This window comes from Homo sapiens, chromosome 3 (genome assembly GCF_000001405.40).
Source record: "Homo sapiens chromosome 3, GRCh38.p14 Primary Assembly".
Lineage (NCBI taxonomy): Eukaryota > Metazoa > Chordata > Mammalia > Primates > Hominidae > Homo > Homo sapiens.
In genome coordinates this window covers 160,001,188-160,018,703 of record NC_000003.12, presented here as the reverse complement: position 1 = coordinate 160,018,703, position 17,516 = coordinate 160,001,188, and the positions used below count along the sequence as shown (strand labels likewise).

The window sequence follows — 17,516 nt, the reverse complement described above, 5'->3', positions numbered from 1 at the left end:
TTACTATAAAATAGAATTCTGTAAATTGCTTTAAGAAAGCATTTATTGGCTGGGTGTGGTGGCTCACACTTGTAATCCCAGCACTTTGGGAGGCCAAGGTGGGTGGATCATGAGGTCAGGAGATGGAGACCATCCTGGCTAACACGGTGAAACCCCGTCTCTACTAAAAATACAAAAAATTAGCTGGGCGTGGTGGCAGGCACTTGTAGTCCCAGCTACTCAGGAGGCTGAGGCAGGAGAATGGCATGAACCAGGGAGGCAGAACTTGCAGTGAGCCAAGATCGCGCCACTGCACTCCAGCCTGGGTGACAGAGCGATATTCCATCTCAAAAAAAAAAAAAAAAATTATTTATATAGTACTTATATATTATCTATGTACTTTTTCCCAGACACACACAGTGAACAAGTGATCACTGGGCTCCTTTCCCAGGCACAGTTTTTGTAAGTAATTGTGAATGCAGGATACCTAATATCTTTGATCATTTAAGTTTTTACATAAAACTAACTCTAGTAGGAGAAAAACAAAGGTGCGTAAGTCACGTTCACATATCTTATGTAGTCACTTTGATTGTTTCCTTGGATAATGATGCTCTGACAGAGTGCTATTGAGTTCTCTTAGTTCCTTCCTTCCTTCCTTCCTTCCTTCCTTCCTTCCTTCCTTCCTTCCTTCCTTTCTCTTTCTCTCTCTCTCTCTCTCTCTCTCTCTCACCCAGGCTGGAGTGCAGTGGCATGATCTTGGCTCACTGCAACCTCCGCCTCCTGGGTTCAAGAGATCCTCCTGCCTTAGCCTCCTAAGTAACTGGGATTACAGGTGTGCACCACCACGCCTGGCTAATTTTTGTATTTTTAGTAGAGACGGGGTTTTGCCATGTTGGCTGGGCTGGTCTCAAACTCCTGGCCTCAAGTGACCCGCCCGCCTCAGCCTCCAAAAGTTCTGGAATTATAGGCGTGAGCCACCGCTCCTGGCCTCTTAGTGCTTTTGAATGAAATAAAAACCCGTAATTATTTTAAGAAGTCTTCTTCTATGTAAAAATTAGAACTAGGCTGGGCGTGGTGACTCACGCCTGTAATCCCAGCACTTTGGGAGGCCGAGGTGGGTGGATCATCTGAGGTCAGGAGTTTGAGACCAGACTGGTCAACATGGCGAAACCCCATCTCTACTAAAAATACAAAAATTAGGCGGGCATGGTGGTGGCGTGTGCCTGTAGTCCCAGCTACTCGGGAGGCTGAGTCAGGAGAATTGTTTGTACCTGGAAGGTGGAGGTTGCAGTGAGCCAAGATCGCCATTGCACTCCAGCCTGGGCAACAAGAGTGAAACTTCGTCTCAAAAAAAAAAAAAAAAGAAAGAAAGAAAGAAAGAAAAAATTAGAACTAAACAGGTGTTCTTGTCTGTCCAACATAGACTGGTAGACTCAGAGGGAGTATTCCAATGTTCGGAAACTGAAAACTTTATTTGAGGTCAACAGAAAAGAAGTTGAGATCAAGTATCATGTTTTGTCCTGGAGCCAAATATGTAGACTTTGCTGTTGAGCCTGGCTTGACACTGGACCTTTGATTGATGTTAACTGTGACTCACCCTCTCTTGCCTCCTTTCAGTTTCCAAATTCTCTCTGCTTGGGTCAAAAGTCATTGCTTGCCAGAAGTTTAATAGTGTGTGCATTGTGTGTATGTGTGTGCATGCCAATATGTATGCAACCCATACAATGCCTGGAACACCAATTTAGCTTCATATTTTAACAGACCATGATTCCAACATCATGTCAAAGTCTTATATGTTAAAAGTTCTGCATCCACATTAGAAGGTACTATGGATCACTGTGTATCCCATGCCAAATGGTACATGAGCTCTCTTTCTCCTCTGGGTCCTGATATTTTAAACAAAGAAACAGTGTGCCATTATGGGCCCTTGATTCTGTGCAAAGTCATTGATCGTTACCCATCCTTGAGGTTTTTTTCTTGAGGCAGAGTCTTGCTCTGTTGCCCAGGCTGGAGTGCAATGGCGCGATCTCAGCTCACTGCAACCTCTGCCTCCCGTGTTCAAGCGATTCTCCTCCCTCAGCCTCCCAAGTAGCTGGGATTACAGGCACCTGCCACCATGCCTGGCTAATTTTTGTATTTTTAGTAGTGACAGGGTTTCACCATGTTGGCCAGGCTGGTCTCGAACTCCTGACTTTGTGATCTACCTGCCTTGGCTTCCCAAAGTGCTGGGATTACAGGCGTGAGCCACCATACCTGGCCCCATCCTTGACTTTTAACATGTACAGAGCAACCAATAACGAGTCCTTCCTCAAAGTAAAGTGAAATGAATAATAAATGTCTAAGACTTTGTGGTTAAACCTAACTCCACACTGAGGTGGGTCCTGTCCCTGTTGATCTAAATTTTCCTCCACTAGGGGTCTAATTTGGAGCTTCCCTACAGAGGATTGTGTGCTGCATCCTCAGATCCATGGCGCAAGGTTTTTTCCACGTGTGAAAAGAAGATAACAGATGGGAAAGAGCTATCCAGAATTGGTGTGGGCGCTGGTACCAGGCCTGGCCATGGAGAGGACTCCCCCATATTTAACCTAGGGCATCTATTTTCTGCAGCCTTGCTGCTTAAAATGGGGTCTGGGAACCAAGGTACCATGAGGATCAGCATCAACTGAGAGCAGCTTGTTAAGACGCGAAGTCTCAGCCCCACTCCAGACCTGCAGCACTGTAATCTGCAGTAGGCAGGATTCCAAGGCAACTCTTGTTCACATCAGAATTTGAGAAGCAACTGTTCTAGAATACACTAGGGAGCCATATGAGATCTCAGGATCAAGTGTAGAGTGACTTGAGGTTTCTCCTTGGTTGAGAGCTCCTCAAATAAGATAGGCCTCCCAGGTTAACTAATTTCAGAGCAATTTTTCAGATTTAGAAAATTGGAGTCAGGCGCAGTGGCTCACGCCTGTAATCCCAGCACTTTGGGAGGCCGAGGCGGGCAGATCACCTGAGGTCAGGAGTTCAAGACCAGCCTGGCCAAAATGGTGAAGCGTTTTCTCTACCAAAAATACAAAAATTAGTCAGGAGTGGTGGTGTGCGCCTGTAGTCCCAGCTGAGGCATAAGAATTGTTTGAACCAGGGAGGAGGAGGCTGCAGTGAGCTGAGATCTTGCCACTGTATTCCAGCCTGGGTGACAGAGTGAGACTCTGTCTCAAAAAAAAAAAAAAAAAAAAAAAAAAAAGAAAAAGAAAAAGAAAAAACAAAAATTGGGTTCATTTTGGGTTTTGTTGCACAAATATACATATTTAAGCACCTGTTAGGTGCAAGGCATTATGGCCTGAGGGGAGGTGGTTTGGATATTCATAATGGAACGAGATTCCTAGAATATAGAACAAAGCTGCAATGTTTAAACCATTTTTCTAAACTTTTGTGTAATTCAGCATTGAATCTCCTTTCTCATCTTTACCTATTGTAAGTCCAGTTAAAATGAGGGTAGACGTGGATGGTGAACTGAAAGTAGCAAAGTAGACAGATGCAATGGTGACTACAAATCCCACTTTCTGATTTGAAATGTGGGATTGACAGCAGTTGAAAAATAAGGATTAGGTCTATAATAAACTGTCTTTATTAATGAACTATAGTTTAAGTAATTAACACAAATTCAGAATAAGTAGTACCATTTAATGGGTTTATGTTTTTAACAAGTACATTAAGTTAATTAGAAAGGCCTCATGCACACTTCCTGGGAAGCTAGAATAGCTGATCATATTCTGCTAATGCGGAGGGAGGTTCCCCCAAGAACAACAGGGACAATGGCATGGGAAAGGCTGGACGTCCTTCCTGGCTGATGTTTTACACCTTTCTTCTTGGGTTGATTGTTTTTTTCCTATGTAGAAGATTTCCTTGGACTTGGCCTTCAGAAAACCTAAATTTAAAGTTCAGCTTTATCAGGGGAGCCTGGGAGAATGGTTACATTAACCTCTTTGTGGCCTTTGAAACATACATAGAAAATATCAAGGGATAGTTGTAAAAATGAGGATAAAAACATCTAAAGTGCTAAGTAGAAAGTAACTGAGTAGAATGGAAGCCTGTAGAGCAAAAAATTAGATTGTGGTTTGAGTGAGTGGTTTATGCCTGTAATCCGAGAAATTTGGGAGGCCAAGATGGGAGGATTGCTTGAGTCCAGAAGTTCAAGACCAGCCTGGGCAATTAGCAAGACCCTGTCTCTATAAAAAATTAAAAATTAGCTGGATGTGGTGGTGTGCACCTGTAGTCCCAACGATTTGGTAAGCTGAAGAGAGAGGATAGCTTGAGCCCAGGAAGCTGAGGCTGCAGTGAGCCACATCACTCCAGCCAAGGTGACAGATGGAGATGCTGCCTCAAAAAAATAAAGTTAGATTGTATTTGCATGAAGGGCATGTAGTTAGCCTACAGGTATGATGCTAGTGCTTATTTAATTTTCTGAAATCTTTTAGAAGAAGGCTGCTTGTGCCACGTGGGGTACCTGTGTTCTTTTGGCTGTGGAGTTTGCGCAGGAAGAGGTTTGGAGATCCAGGAGCCTGAAGTCAGATGACAGGTGCCTTGACCTCTGTGGCATGTCTCTTTGGACTCTGTGAAAGTTATTTAATTGCTGTGGTTTTCTAGAAGAATATGAAGATAATTGTAAGGTGCCACATGCACTGCTTGGACTCTTACAGTTCTGACAGTTATTCCTGACAAATTTCAAAACCAAAGTCTGTTTCTACTTGTAGGATATTTCTAAGATATCCCCTGAGAAATTAATGACAATGGAGAAGCCTCTTGTTTGCCAGAATTTATTGTAGAATGGAAATAAATACAGAGTGATGAGTGAACCAGAAACTGTAATTACCCTAGAAATACATATTCTTTTTCTTTTCTTTTCTTTTCTTTTCTTTTTTTTTTTTTTGAGACAGAGTGTTGCTCTGTGGCCTAGGCTGGAGTGCAGTGGCACGATCTTGGCTTACTGCAACCTCTGCCTCCTGGGTTCAAGTGATTCTCCTGCCTCAGCATCCCAAGTAGCTGGGATTACAGGTGTGTACCACCATGCCTGGCTTATTTTTGTATGTTTAGTAGAGATGGGGTTTCACTGTGTTGGCCAGGCTGGTCTCGACCTCCTGACCTCAAGTGATCTGCGAGCTTTAGCCTCCCAAAATGTTGGGATTACAGACGTAAGCCACCACGCCTGGCCCAGAAACACATATTCTATAAACCAACTTGAATTAGCAGCAGAGATGTATATCCCTTAGATATGGTATTTTCTTTCTTTCTTTCTCTTTCTTTCTTTCTCTTTTCTTTCTTTCTTTCTTTCTTTCTTTCTTTCTTTCTTTCTTTCTTTCTTTCTTTCTCTTTCTCTTTCTTTCTTTCTCTCTCTCTTTCTTTCTCTTTTCTCTCTCTCTCCTTTTTTTTTTTTTGACAGCATTTTGCTGTAATGCCCAGGCTGGAGTGCAATGGCATGATCTTCACTCACTGCAACCTCTGCCTCCTGGGTTCAAGCAATTCTCCTGTCTCAGCCTCCCGAGTAGTTGGGACTACAAGTGCGTGCCACCACGCCCGGCTAATTTTTGTATTTTTAGTAGAGACGGGGTTTCACCATATTGGCCAGGCTGTTCTCGAACTCCTGACCTCAAGTGATCCACCTGCCTCAGCCTCCCAAAGTGCTGGGATTACAAGAGTGAGCCACCGTGCCGGGCCAGATATGGTATTTTCAATGTTTCAAAATAGTGCATTGTGTTCTCACATTTTATAATCCTATTTCTGAAAAAACAATAGTTTGTTAACCTTGTAGCTTATTCCAAAGAAGCAGCTTTGGAGGATTTGCAGAAGTGGAGTCATGGGAGGGCATTTTCTGAGCTCTATGGGCCCTGGTGATTGTCAGACACTCAGAGGATCCTTTAAAAGTTTCTAGGACTAGGAATGGAAAGAGAGAGGAGCCAGGTTAAGGCAATCAGGTGGCGATGGCAATGCCCAGTGCAGTTAAGTGCTTTGTTCCTGTATTTCCTCCAGACTTGCTGTCAAACCTGGACAGGAGCCGAGGAGGTGGGAGGCAAGGGCCAGTGCATGTAGTGGGGTTCAAATTCCAGTTCTACCCCTTCCTAGAGGAGGACTTGGGCAAATGGAGTAGCTCCTCTGAGGTTCTCTGTCCATAATATAGTGATAAGAGGGCTTTCTGGGGGGAAGGTGGTATTCAGTGAGGGGAGACAACTAAACTATTAGCTTATTTCTGTAAATGTTCTCCAGTTCCAGGTTGGAGAATGATTCAAGTTAGCAAAAATGATGAGGAGGTTGGAAAGCTCCAATGAAACCATGGTCAGTGGGTGATAAGTGTGTGTTGCAGTTTGATAACATGAAAGACTGAAACTGAGAGAGAGTTGAAAAATAAGTCTTTAGAAAAATAGAGTTTAGGGACTGGAAGCCTCAATGAGGTAGAAAACCAGGGTGGAGTAAGGAGGAACTGAAAGCAAAAGAAAAGCACGTGTGTGACTTGAGAGTGAGATTTCCAAAGTCAGTTTCAGTTACCACCCAAGCAATCACTAACCCTTCTAAATTGTCATTATTTCGTATATTGATATGGTATTTTATTAATTAATACACTTTTTTTTTCAAGATAGAGTTTTTCTCTGTCACCTAGATTGAAGTGCAATACTGTGATCATGGCTTACTACAGCCTCAGCTTCCCAAACGATCCTTCTAATCTCAGCCTCCTGAGTAGCTGGGACCACAGGAATGTGCCATCTTGCTTGTCTAACTAAAAAAAAATTTTTTATTTTAGACATGGAGTCTCACTATTTTGCCCAGGCTGGTGTCAAACTCCTGGGCCCAAGGAATTTACTTGTTTTGGCCTCCTAAATCCCCTTGGATTATAGGTATGAGCCACTGTGCCCAGTCTAAGTAGAATTTTAAAAATCTCCTTTTCTAAAGAAAATTGAATTTGTTGATAGTAAAGTTTTAAAATTGGGAAGTTATATTGAAATGTGTCTGGTGCAACCAGTGGAGTTTAAATTATTTTTGACCAAAATGGATTCTGAAGAAATGGTATGGATAGAAAACAAAGAATGTAAGTTTTATCTTGAATAAAAACTAGTTTTCAGGGTGGGGTGAGTGGAACTGAGGGTAGAAAAGGGTGAGAAAGCAAATATAATAATTGTCTCATCTCTATAACATTTAAAGATTTGATTAAGTGAAACAAAGCCCCAGCTGCTGGAGCAGAGGTTCCACTTGGGTTCCACAGACACCCACAGCCCAAATCCCTGGAGGTCAGTGGGGCTCACAGTGAGTGTGGGGATGCTTCTAATAGTGGGTGTGCTCAGCTGGGAGTGGGTTTGGTTTGGTTTGGTTTGGTTCAAAGGCAGCAGAAGTCTGCATCTTAGCTGTCTTAATGTGAATGTGGGGTCTTGTGACAGGGTCTCTTCTGTATCCTGGGGGTGGATCTGCACTCTGCCTGATGGCCTAGCTACTTTGCCAGACCCTGCCTGCTTGGTCTTCACCAGGTTGCTCCTGCTGTGTATGATTACAGCCTTGGCATGGGACTGCATTTCCCTTGTTTAATGTTGGTGCTGGGAAGCCCTCTTGCAACCACTCCTTTAATATCCTCCTTTCTCCTGGGAGAAGCTGGAGAGAGCTACAGGTCATGAGGTCCTCCTCTGGGAGAAGGGAGATGGAGAGAAACACCAGATACACCTCCATCTCCTGCAGCTGTTTTGAGTTTGATTTCTTATTCTATTTGAAGGAAATTTTTTAGAATAACAGATACATGTATAATAAACACATTTTCGAACGTAAAGAGGGAAAGTAGGAATGGGATGGAAGTGAGACCACTGAAATTCACTGGCTCCATGTGGGAGCTCAGGGCCATAGTGTCATCATCTACAAATGGCACTGAAGTTTCTCCTGCCATTGATACAAGTTTGCAGCAGATGTTATTTCTGCATCATTTGCATTTTCAGTTATGATACTTCACCTCTTTCTCAGTATCACACACAATTCAGTGTTGACTATGATATTCTGAAAAGCACACAGGCCGGGCATGGTGGCTCATGTCTGTAATCCCAATGCTTTTGGAAGGAGAAGCAGGTGGATCCTCGGTGCCAGGAGTTTGACACCAGCCTGGGCAACAAAGGGAGACCTCAGTTCTTTTTTTTTTGAGGTGGAGTCTTGCTCTGTCACCCAGGCTGGAGTGCAATGGTGCAATCTCATCTCACTGCAACCTCCGCCTCCCGGGTTCAAGCCATTCTCCTGCCTCAGCCTCCTAAGTAGCTGGGATTACAGGCACGCACCACCACCCCCTGCTAATTTTTTTAATTTTTTTGTATTTTTAGTAGAGACGGGGTTTCACCATGTTGGTTAGGCTGGTCTGGAACTCCTGACCTCGTGATGCGCCTGCCTCGGCCTCCCAAAGTGCTGGGATTATAGGCGTGAGCCACTGCGCCTGGCCGAGACCCCATTTCTATAAAAATTTTTAAAAATTAGCCAGGCATGGTGGTGCGTTCCTGTGGTCTCAGCTACTTGGGAGGCTGAGATGGGAGGATAGCTTGAGCCTGGGAGGTTAAGGCTGCTGTGAGCCATGATGGCTGCAGTGAGTCATGATGGTGCCAGTGCACTCCAGCCTGAATGACAGAGTGAGACTCTGTCTCAAAAAAAAAAAAAAAAGCAAGCAAGCAAGCAAGCACACAGATGAGTTTAGTAGATGGACATTAAAGGAGTTTTAACCAACTCTTTTATTTCTTCTCTCTCTTAAAAAACTATATGTTGCTGACAAGAAATTATATTTCTTCTGTCATGTAGAATTTTTATTTTGCTCCATAAATGTAATGACATTGGGATATCATGGATCTGTTTTCTGTACACCTACTTATCACTTAAATAACTTTTGAATCATTTTTCAACTTGTTTCTATTATATCCATCAAGTTATATGTGGACAGATGATTTGGTAACAACCAATGCTGGCACAGAATGAGTGCTGTGCACAGGTCATCCATTGAAGTCTGTCTCCTGTCATGTCTTTGTCTCTCAAAAGGAAACTGTTTTGGAACTCAGTCATGTTTAGAATTCTCAGTCTCAGTTTAAGCATAAGCCTCTCCTATGGATGTGGCTGAATTTTACTCTAGATACTATCCCATTCAATTAGCCAGTTTAAAACAGGCCAGTTTATTCAAAGCTAAAATTACAGCTGCATAAAGAGGTAGTTTGGACTCTCTATGTCAGGAATTGGGTTGTTTTTTGTGGTATTCATTGCTATGTTCAAATAAATGAACCTGAAAGGTGTGACTTTTTCATCACTGCAGATGCCTCAGTAATAGGGATATTTAACTGGTAGCACCCAGAATAACAGATGTTCTTCTACACTGAGTTTCTTGGCTGTTTAAAAAGCTACTTTATAATACCTCTGGTTTACTTGTTTAGAATCTATTTTAATAATATTTTGCATTGTAAGATGCTTCTGGTCTCTGCTCTTTTTTTCAGGCCTAAGGCAATAGCTAATTGAGACTATGCATCACTATTAAGGCATCTTCACTAAAGGGCGCTGTGGAAACGCTGCCTGAGATGCAGACACCTGTCAGAAGGGGGCTAAATTTCAAACAAGGAACGTGGTGTTGCATCACAATAAAGTAAGTGTCCAGAGGGAACTTCTGCAGTACTGTGTTTTCCAACGTGCTGAGTGATATTGTAGGAGACTATTATTTTGCTGGAATTTCTATGAATACATCTATGAATACATTTAAAATAAAAAGTGTTTTTTGTTTTTTTTTTTGAGATGGAGTTTCACTCTTATTGCCCAGGCTGGAGTGCAATGGCGCTCCCTTGGCTCACACAACCTCTGCCTCCTCGGTTCATGCTATTCTCCTACCTCAGCCTCCCGAGTAGCTGGGATTACAGGCATGAGCCACCACGCCCAGAAAATTTTTTGTACTTTTAGTAGAGACGGGGTTTCTCCATGTTGGTCAGGCTGGTCTCGAACTCCTGACTTCAGGTGATCTGCCCACCTTGGCCTCCCAAAGTGCTGGGATTACAGGTGTGAGCTACTGTGCCCAGCCAAAATGTGTTTTTTTAATATTTAATTTTGTGGCCAGGAGTCTCACGCCTGTTATCCCAGCACTTTGGGAGGCCGAGGCGAGTGGATCACGAGGTCAAGAGATCGAGACCATCCTGGCCAACATGGTGAAAACCTGTCTCTACTAATAATAGAAAAATTAGCTGGGCATGGTGGCATGTGCCTGTAGTCTCAGCTACTTGGGAGGCTGAGGCAGGAGAATCGCTTGAACCTGAGAGGCGGAGGTGGCAGTGAGCTGAGATTGCGCCACTGCACTCCAGCCTGAAGACAGAGCAAGACTACGCCTCCAAAAAAATAAAAAAAAGAAAGAAAAAATTGTTTTGGTACATAGTAGGTGTATATATTTATGGGATATGTGAGATATTATGATACAGAAATGCAATGTGAAATAAGCACTTCATGGAGAATGGGGTATCCATCCCCTCAAGCGTTTATCCATTGAGTTACAAACAATCAAATTACACTCTTTAAGTTATTTTAACATATACCATTAAGTTATTACTGACTATAGTTACCCTGTTGTGCTATCAAATAGTTGGTCTTATTCATTCTTTCTAATTATTTTCTTGGTAGTCAAAATAAAATGTTTATTTTTATGACTTCTTTTTTTTTTTTTTTTTTTTTTTGAGATGGAGTCTCGCTCTGTTGCCCAGGCTGGAATGCAGTGGCGTGATCTCGGCTCACTGCAACCTCTGCCTCCCGGGTTCACACCATTCTCCTGCCTCAGCCTCCCGAGTAGCTGGGGCTACAGGCGCCACCGCTACCACGCCCGGCTAATTTTTTGTATTTTTAGTAGATACGGGGTTTCACCGTGTTAGCCAGGATGGTCTCGATCTCCTGACTTCATGATTCACATGCCTCGGCCTCCCAAAGTGCTGGGATTACAGGTGAGAGTCACTGCACCCGGCCTCCATATACCAGTGATAGCAGTGTTTTATTTACAGTAATTATAGGTTTTTTTTTTTTTTGAGACAGAGTTTCACTCTTGTTGCCCAGGCTGGAGTGCAATGGTGTGATCTCAGCTCACTGCAACCTCCGCCTCCTGGGTTTAAGCGATTCTCCTGCCTCAGCCTCCCAAGTAGCTGGGATTACAGAGGTGCCTGCCACCATGCCTGGCTAATTTTTTGTATTTTTAGTAGGGACGGGGTTTCGCGATGTTGGCCAGCCTGGTCTCGAACTCCTGACCTCAAGTATTCTGCCCGCCTCTGCCTCCCAAAGTGCTGGGATTACAGGCGTGAACCACCACGCGCGGCCTCAAACTCATATTTGAAATTTAGAGAGATTGCCAAGACCCTAGAGTTTTGCATGTTCTCACAAATTGATTTCGTTAGTTCAAATTTCATACCACTTTTTCTAACTGATGATTCTTACACCTTGACAGGTGACTGAGTTCAATATGATTAGAGCTGAACCATTTCAAAAAGCAGCACAAGTGGCGACTGCCAGTAACCGATAATAACCGAGTTTAATCCCCCTCTTCTGCTCCTTCCCTCTGATGGAATTCTCATTTTCCCTGGCCTCCCCCATTGACATTCATCCAATGCCCATGCTGCTGGATCAGTCTTCCTGGAGCCATATCTAACTTAGAAAGATGAAGGACTTCCAACCTTTTGGGAGATGACAATGTGTTATCAAAATCAACAAACTAATAGATTGACTTCCTTTGCATATTTTTGCAATGTTCTGTGAGATATCAAGTCACTTCCCTGGTAGTTTCTTATTCAGTATTTCACTGTACTGCTTTAAAAAAAAAAAAAAGTCAGGCCTCAACCCTAACAGAGTCACTTGGAGATCTTGTTAAAAAGTTGAGTTTAGAGTCTGATACAGGTTTTGAGATGGCCCTGAGAACTTAGGTTTTTTCATAGGCTCTCTGGGCAACTTTTATGGGGCAGAGGTTTAGAAAGCTAGGAGTAAGCTGCCAGGTATCAGGAAACCACTAGATGGCAGGGCCATCCCTTGGAGCCCGTTCTTCAATCAAGAAAGTGGTCAGAGAGGAAAGTGGAGTGGGGAAGAGTCCAAGTACACATGTTAAATGCACGTTAATAAGTGGATGGTGAAGATGAGCTTAGGTGTTGGGTCCTAGCGGGAGAGTGGGAAGGATTCCTGTCACTTCTCACCTCTTTCTAGCTTTATCTCCAGTATTTGAAATGCCTGGAGGATCCTTAACTGAAACTCTCCACTAGTCAACTGTGCTGTACTATAGCACAACCACTTTAAAAAGGTGAAAGTAGGAAAACTAGCTCAATGAGAGGGCTAATATTTTTATGGGGCCAATGATTTGAATTGGTAGACATATATGCCCTCCTACATGATATAGGAGATAGAGTGCAAAAATCAAACCAAAGTGTTTTTTCCTACCCTCACTCACCACACACTACTCCTCACATGCCAAGCAAGCAAGCAAGCAAGCAATTTTTCTGCAGATTCTGCAGTGCACACCAGCTGGGTGTCCTCTAATTCAACTCAACTCTTACACTAGCTATCTAGAGATACTGTCAGATCCCACAGGTTAAGGGCTCAGTCCCACAAGACTGTCCCCCACTTCAGAGGCCAGTTATAAGACTGAATTGCCAGAACTTCTGATCCACTGGCTACAAATTGGGGCTCCCAAGACCCTGCCCAGGGGTTCAATTAATTTGTTACAGTGGCTCACAGAGCTCAGGGCAATACTTTACTTACATTTACTGGTTTATTAGTTAGAGATATAATAAAGGATGCAGATGAACAGCCAGATGGAAAGATACTCAGGGAGCTATCTGGAATGGTCCCAGCACTGGAGCTCCTGTCCCTGTGGAGTTAGGGTGCACACACTCCCAGCATGTGGATGTATTTGCAAACCTGGAACCTCTCTGAACCCTGTCCTTTTGGTTTTATAGAAGCTTTAATTTGTAGGCATGATTGATTACATCACTGGCCGTTAGTGATCAACTCCATTTTCAGCCCTCCTCCCTATCTGCTGGTTATGGGGTGGAGCTGAAAATCCTAACTTTCCAATCCAGCCTTGGTTTTTACTGTGACCCACTCCTAACCTGAAGCTATCCAGGGGCCCTCAGCTACCAGTCACCTCATTAACATATAAAGGATTATATGCTAATTATATAGTATATATTATTATGTTATATAATAATATAATATATATATCTATAATTACATGCTATATTATATATGCTATCTAGTAATATAGTTAGCATACACTCCTTTATATGCTAATATATAATTATGCTATATAATTAGCGTATACACTCTAAACACTCCTTAGATTCCAAGGATTTTAGGAGCTTTATGCCAGGAAAAGATAAGGAAGACCAAATGTATATTTCACAAAAATCACACCTTCTAAGTGTATGACACTTTCTAAGAAATTAGCAGACATTACAAATCAGATATAAAACAGATATTACCATCCCATGAGGCTTTTTTTTGAAATGTGCATTTCCCCCTAAAACCAGGAAGTGGCATAATGGAGATGAGAGCTCAGATCTCTTGCTTTTCTCCTTAGTGGTCACTGAGGTCACTAAGTGTCTTGGTGTGCCACTAACATTTAGATAAAGACAGGTGTGTAAGACCAAAACTGTATCTTTCTCTTTTTAAGCCACTTGAATTATTTTTGATGTCTGAATTTTTCAAAATTCCAACCTAATTTGTGCTGTCTTCAAAACAGTCTTATTATTGGAACTATCACTGTGAATGAACATTACACTCTAACAGTGGTATGTTATATGAAATGGTACCATTTAGTCCTTAAAATTGATTGGAAAACAGTGATTGGGGAACATTTAAATATATTTTAAAAGTGAGAGAAGTAACAATTAATGCTATACTTTTTTTAATAAGGAGAGTATATTTTCATTGTAAGTATCTATTAATGATTGAAATGTTCAGAGGAACTACTGAATTCATCATCTGTGTTTAGATGAAGCAAAGACGAAACCCCCTTAACAGTTACTCAGTTTTTTGATTACCCTTGCTGGCGACTTGAGGAAAGAGTGGATAAAAACTGCCACTGCCAGCTGGGTGCGGTGGCTCACTCCTGTAATCCCAGCATTTTGGGAGGCCAAGGCGGGCGGATCATGAGGTCAGGAGTTCGAGGCCAGCCTGGCCAATATGGCAAAACCCTGTCTCTACTAAAAATACAAAAATTAGCTGGGCATGGTGGCAGGCGCCTGTAATCCTAGCTATTTGGGAGGTTGAGTTAGGAGAATCGCTTGAACCCGGGAGGCGGAGGTTGTAGTGAGCTGAGATTGTGCCATTGCAAACAAAACAAAACAAAACAAAACAAAACAAAACAAAACCTGCCACTGCCAATCTGGAGTTGGAGTTATCAAAACTGATGATATCTGGAAGAGGGCAGAAGATGTTACCATCTGCAAGTTTAGGATGCTGAAGAAGTGGCAAGAAAAGGATCAGAGCCTTGCCACAGCCCAGAATTTATGTAAGTGCTTGAAAGACATCATCTCTCTTGAAGTCCAAGATGTGTTGGAAGGTGAGCAGAAAATTATATCTTAGTTATTTGTCTGGAATCAAGCTGTGTCTTTGGGAATAGCTATAGAACATGTGGCTTGGTTATTTATAAGCTTGGGTTCAGAGAGTTATGCAAATGCAAAAGCAAGCAAGGGGCTGCTGTCCTCTTAGTAAGGATGGTGTGTGCAGCTGAGTCAGAGGAAGGGTTGGAAGCCCAGCCCCAGTGCTGCCCTAGCTTTGGGACTGTAAGTAAAATCTCAACCTAACTTGAAGCCTCTCTGTTCCCATCTGTGAAATGGGTTCAGACCCTCCTATGTCCTGGGCTGTGGTGAGAATGAAAGGAGACCATGCATGTCAAGATCCAGGCAGGTGGTCTGGCTCAGTAAGGGAGCAGTCATGTCACCCTGGTACTTAAGGCAGGGCTGGTAGCATTGAGCCTTCTGGGCCTTCTGTGGCACTGAAGCAGGGGTCATGGGGGCCACTGGGTGGCGCCAGCAATATTCAACCAGCAAAGAGGGCAAGGGAGAAAGCAGAGCCCAGGGAGGGCTGGAGGGGATCGTTCCTGGTGTTGATCCAGAAAACCACAGGGTTCCTTGTCTTGGTTTTCAAGCACTTCTAATTTTGTATGTGTGTGGATGGATGTAGCACATTGTCATAACTGAGCTCAAATCAATTCAAGACTTTGATTATTATATGTTGTTACTACAACGAATATAGTGTTTTTTTTTTCTAAGAATCCTCAGTAATTCAGAGAGAGGTTTTATTTAAAATTCTATTTAGATTTTTTTATTCCTGGCCGGGCGCGGTGGCTCATGCCTGTAATCCCAGCACTTTGGAAGGCCGAGGCAGGCAGACCACGAGGTCAGGAGATCAAGACCATCCTGGCCAACATGGTGAAACCCCGTCTCTACTAAAAGTACAAAAATTAGCTGGGCATGGTGGCATGTGCCTGTAACCCCAGCTACTCAGGAGGCTGAGGCAGGAGAATCGCTTGAACCAGGGAGTCAGAAGTTGCAGTGAGCCGATATCACGCCACCACACTCCAGCCTGATGACAGAGCGAGGCTCCGTCTCAAAAAAAATAAGTACATAAACACCCCAGAAGGTTATATCAGAAGTCAAAGTACTATGATCTCTCTGCATGCTTTTCAGACATGGTGAGCGAGCGTTCTGAACCCTCGGGCCCACTTTGCCTGGAGGACCACTGAGGTTTTCTACTCTCTAGTCTTGGGGTGCTGAAGCCTCAAGAGATTAGAAACAAATGCAATTCTCTCCCACCTAGCAATTTGGGATGCAAGCTCAAAGGTGAGCTCCTCATCCCCTGGAGAAGTACAACTGGCCAAACACTACTTTTCTTGGACTTTCACGGTGGAATTATTTACTTTTCATGGGGAAGAATGCTACTCAGAGATAGCTTTCACAGAACCAAGGGAAAGCTGTCTTCTTTTCTTGAAAAAGACTTGCCTCAGGAAATAATGGGCCTCATTGGCTGCTGCTAATTGGTGAAATGTTTTTTTTTTTTTTTTTTGGTCTGTGTAGATATTGTCACTACTTCAGCATCATGAGTGTGGTGGGTGATTAATATTCTGGATATATTTTACATTATTTGATCCATAAATTCATAAATCATGGATGATGAGAAGAAAAGGAAGTCTGCTTTTTGACACTGCTCTTCTTTGTATTATTTACTTACAGGTCCTGTTTTAAAGCATCCTATTCCTTGGTTGTCTTTCCTTTGGCTCTTTGGCAATAGTTGGTTTTGATCCCAGCTCTTTGGCTCCTGGGCCAAGGCTGAGTGAGTGCCAGACAGGGTAAACTAGTTCACCAGGTGTTCACACAGGTTCAGGACAACCTGCATTGTCCCCACAGCCCTTTTGCCACAGGAATAATTATGGTTTTCTCCCTTCCAAGGATGGGAAGGTGTGTTTTTATTTAAAACCAGGCAGATTCCTAATACTTCCTCATTTGTGCATTTCTCTTGACAAGGGATTTTTCTGCACATAATGACTCTCATTTGGTCCTTTTGCTGTATTCCTTTCGGGGAAAAGTTTCCTCCCGCTGCTTTTTCATGAGAAAGCACGCTTCACTCCATTCTCTAAAGAGAACACAGCAGTTGCTGAATTTTTAATTTGTTCCCATGAGAATCGTGGTTTCCAGCAGTCAGCCTAGGCCACTACCCGTTTTCTGGAAGTCCTTCTTAGGGTGAACCAGCACACTGCTTGCTGAAGAGCTTGATCCCAGGGATTCACTGCTGGAATCATGTGTTTTTGGTTGACAGGTGTTCTCAGCCTCCCTGTCTATATGTCAGGATTTGAGAAGTCCTGATCCTGGCTCTGCAGCCGCTGATGCTAACACGGAGGCCCTGGGGTTAAATTCTAGGCTCTGAGTTTTGAGATTTCTCCTGCTTCTTAAGTGAGACCTCCATTTCCACCCTGGAGCCCACTGTAGATTTAGACCTAATTTGTTCTGGTCCTGATGTAAGTCCTCAGTTAGGAAGTCTAGAGTTAGTCAGCCACCTTTATTCTTTGCAATCCCATTCTTGCTGTTTTCTGTAACCTCTAGCACAAGTTTCCTTTTCAGAAGGGAAGACGCTCTATGCATTTATAGCAGTGTTTTCTTTTCGAGCAAGCCTGGAAATCAACAGGTGGTTCCATTATAAAAACAACTGGAGAGAGGGGCTTAGAGTAATTCAGCAAGTTTTCATTTTTCCTTACCCACGAAAACCTTTTGTGAAAGGAAATCTTACCTGGAACACGCACTGGTAAAATATTCAAAAGTGGAGCTGCTGTGGTGGGGTCATTGAGGGGAGAGGGATTTCGAGGGCTTACCGAGGAGCCCTGCAGGGCCTCTGACTTGCTCCTGGTAGGGTAGCTTGGAAACCAGCAGATCAGGTCATTATTTGGATTTCTTGAAGCTGTGGTGCAGGAATGTGTTTCTAAGACATCTGCAACCTAATGGGAAGTAAAACACTTTCCCACCCCTAGGTGTGGAATATTTATTGGCACGTTGTTTCTGAAGCAT

At 43.2% G+C, this 17,516-nt stretch overlaps 1 long non-coding RNA gene across 1 annotated transcript in view; it reads left to right on the top strand.

Annotated features, from left to right (window-relative positions):
* IL12A-AS1 (IL12A antisense RNA 1) overlaps positions 1 to 17,516 on the top strand; it is a 293,693-nt gene that overhangs the window by 188,389 nt on the left and 87,788 nt on the right. The window contains exons 5-6 of the long non-coding RNA NR_108088.1: positions 9,447 to 9,592; positions 10,829 to 10,922. This is a non-coding gene — a long non-coding RNA (IL12A antisense RNA 1). The remainder of the gene's footprint in view (positions 1 to 9,446; positions 9,593 to 10,828; positions 10,923 to 17,516) is intronic.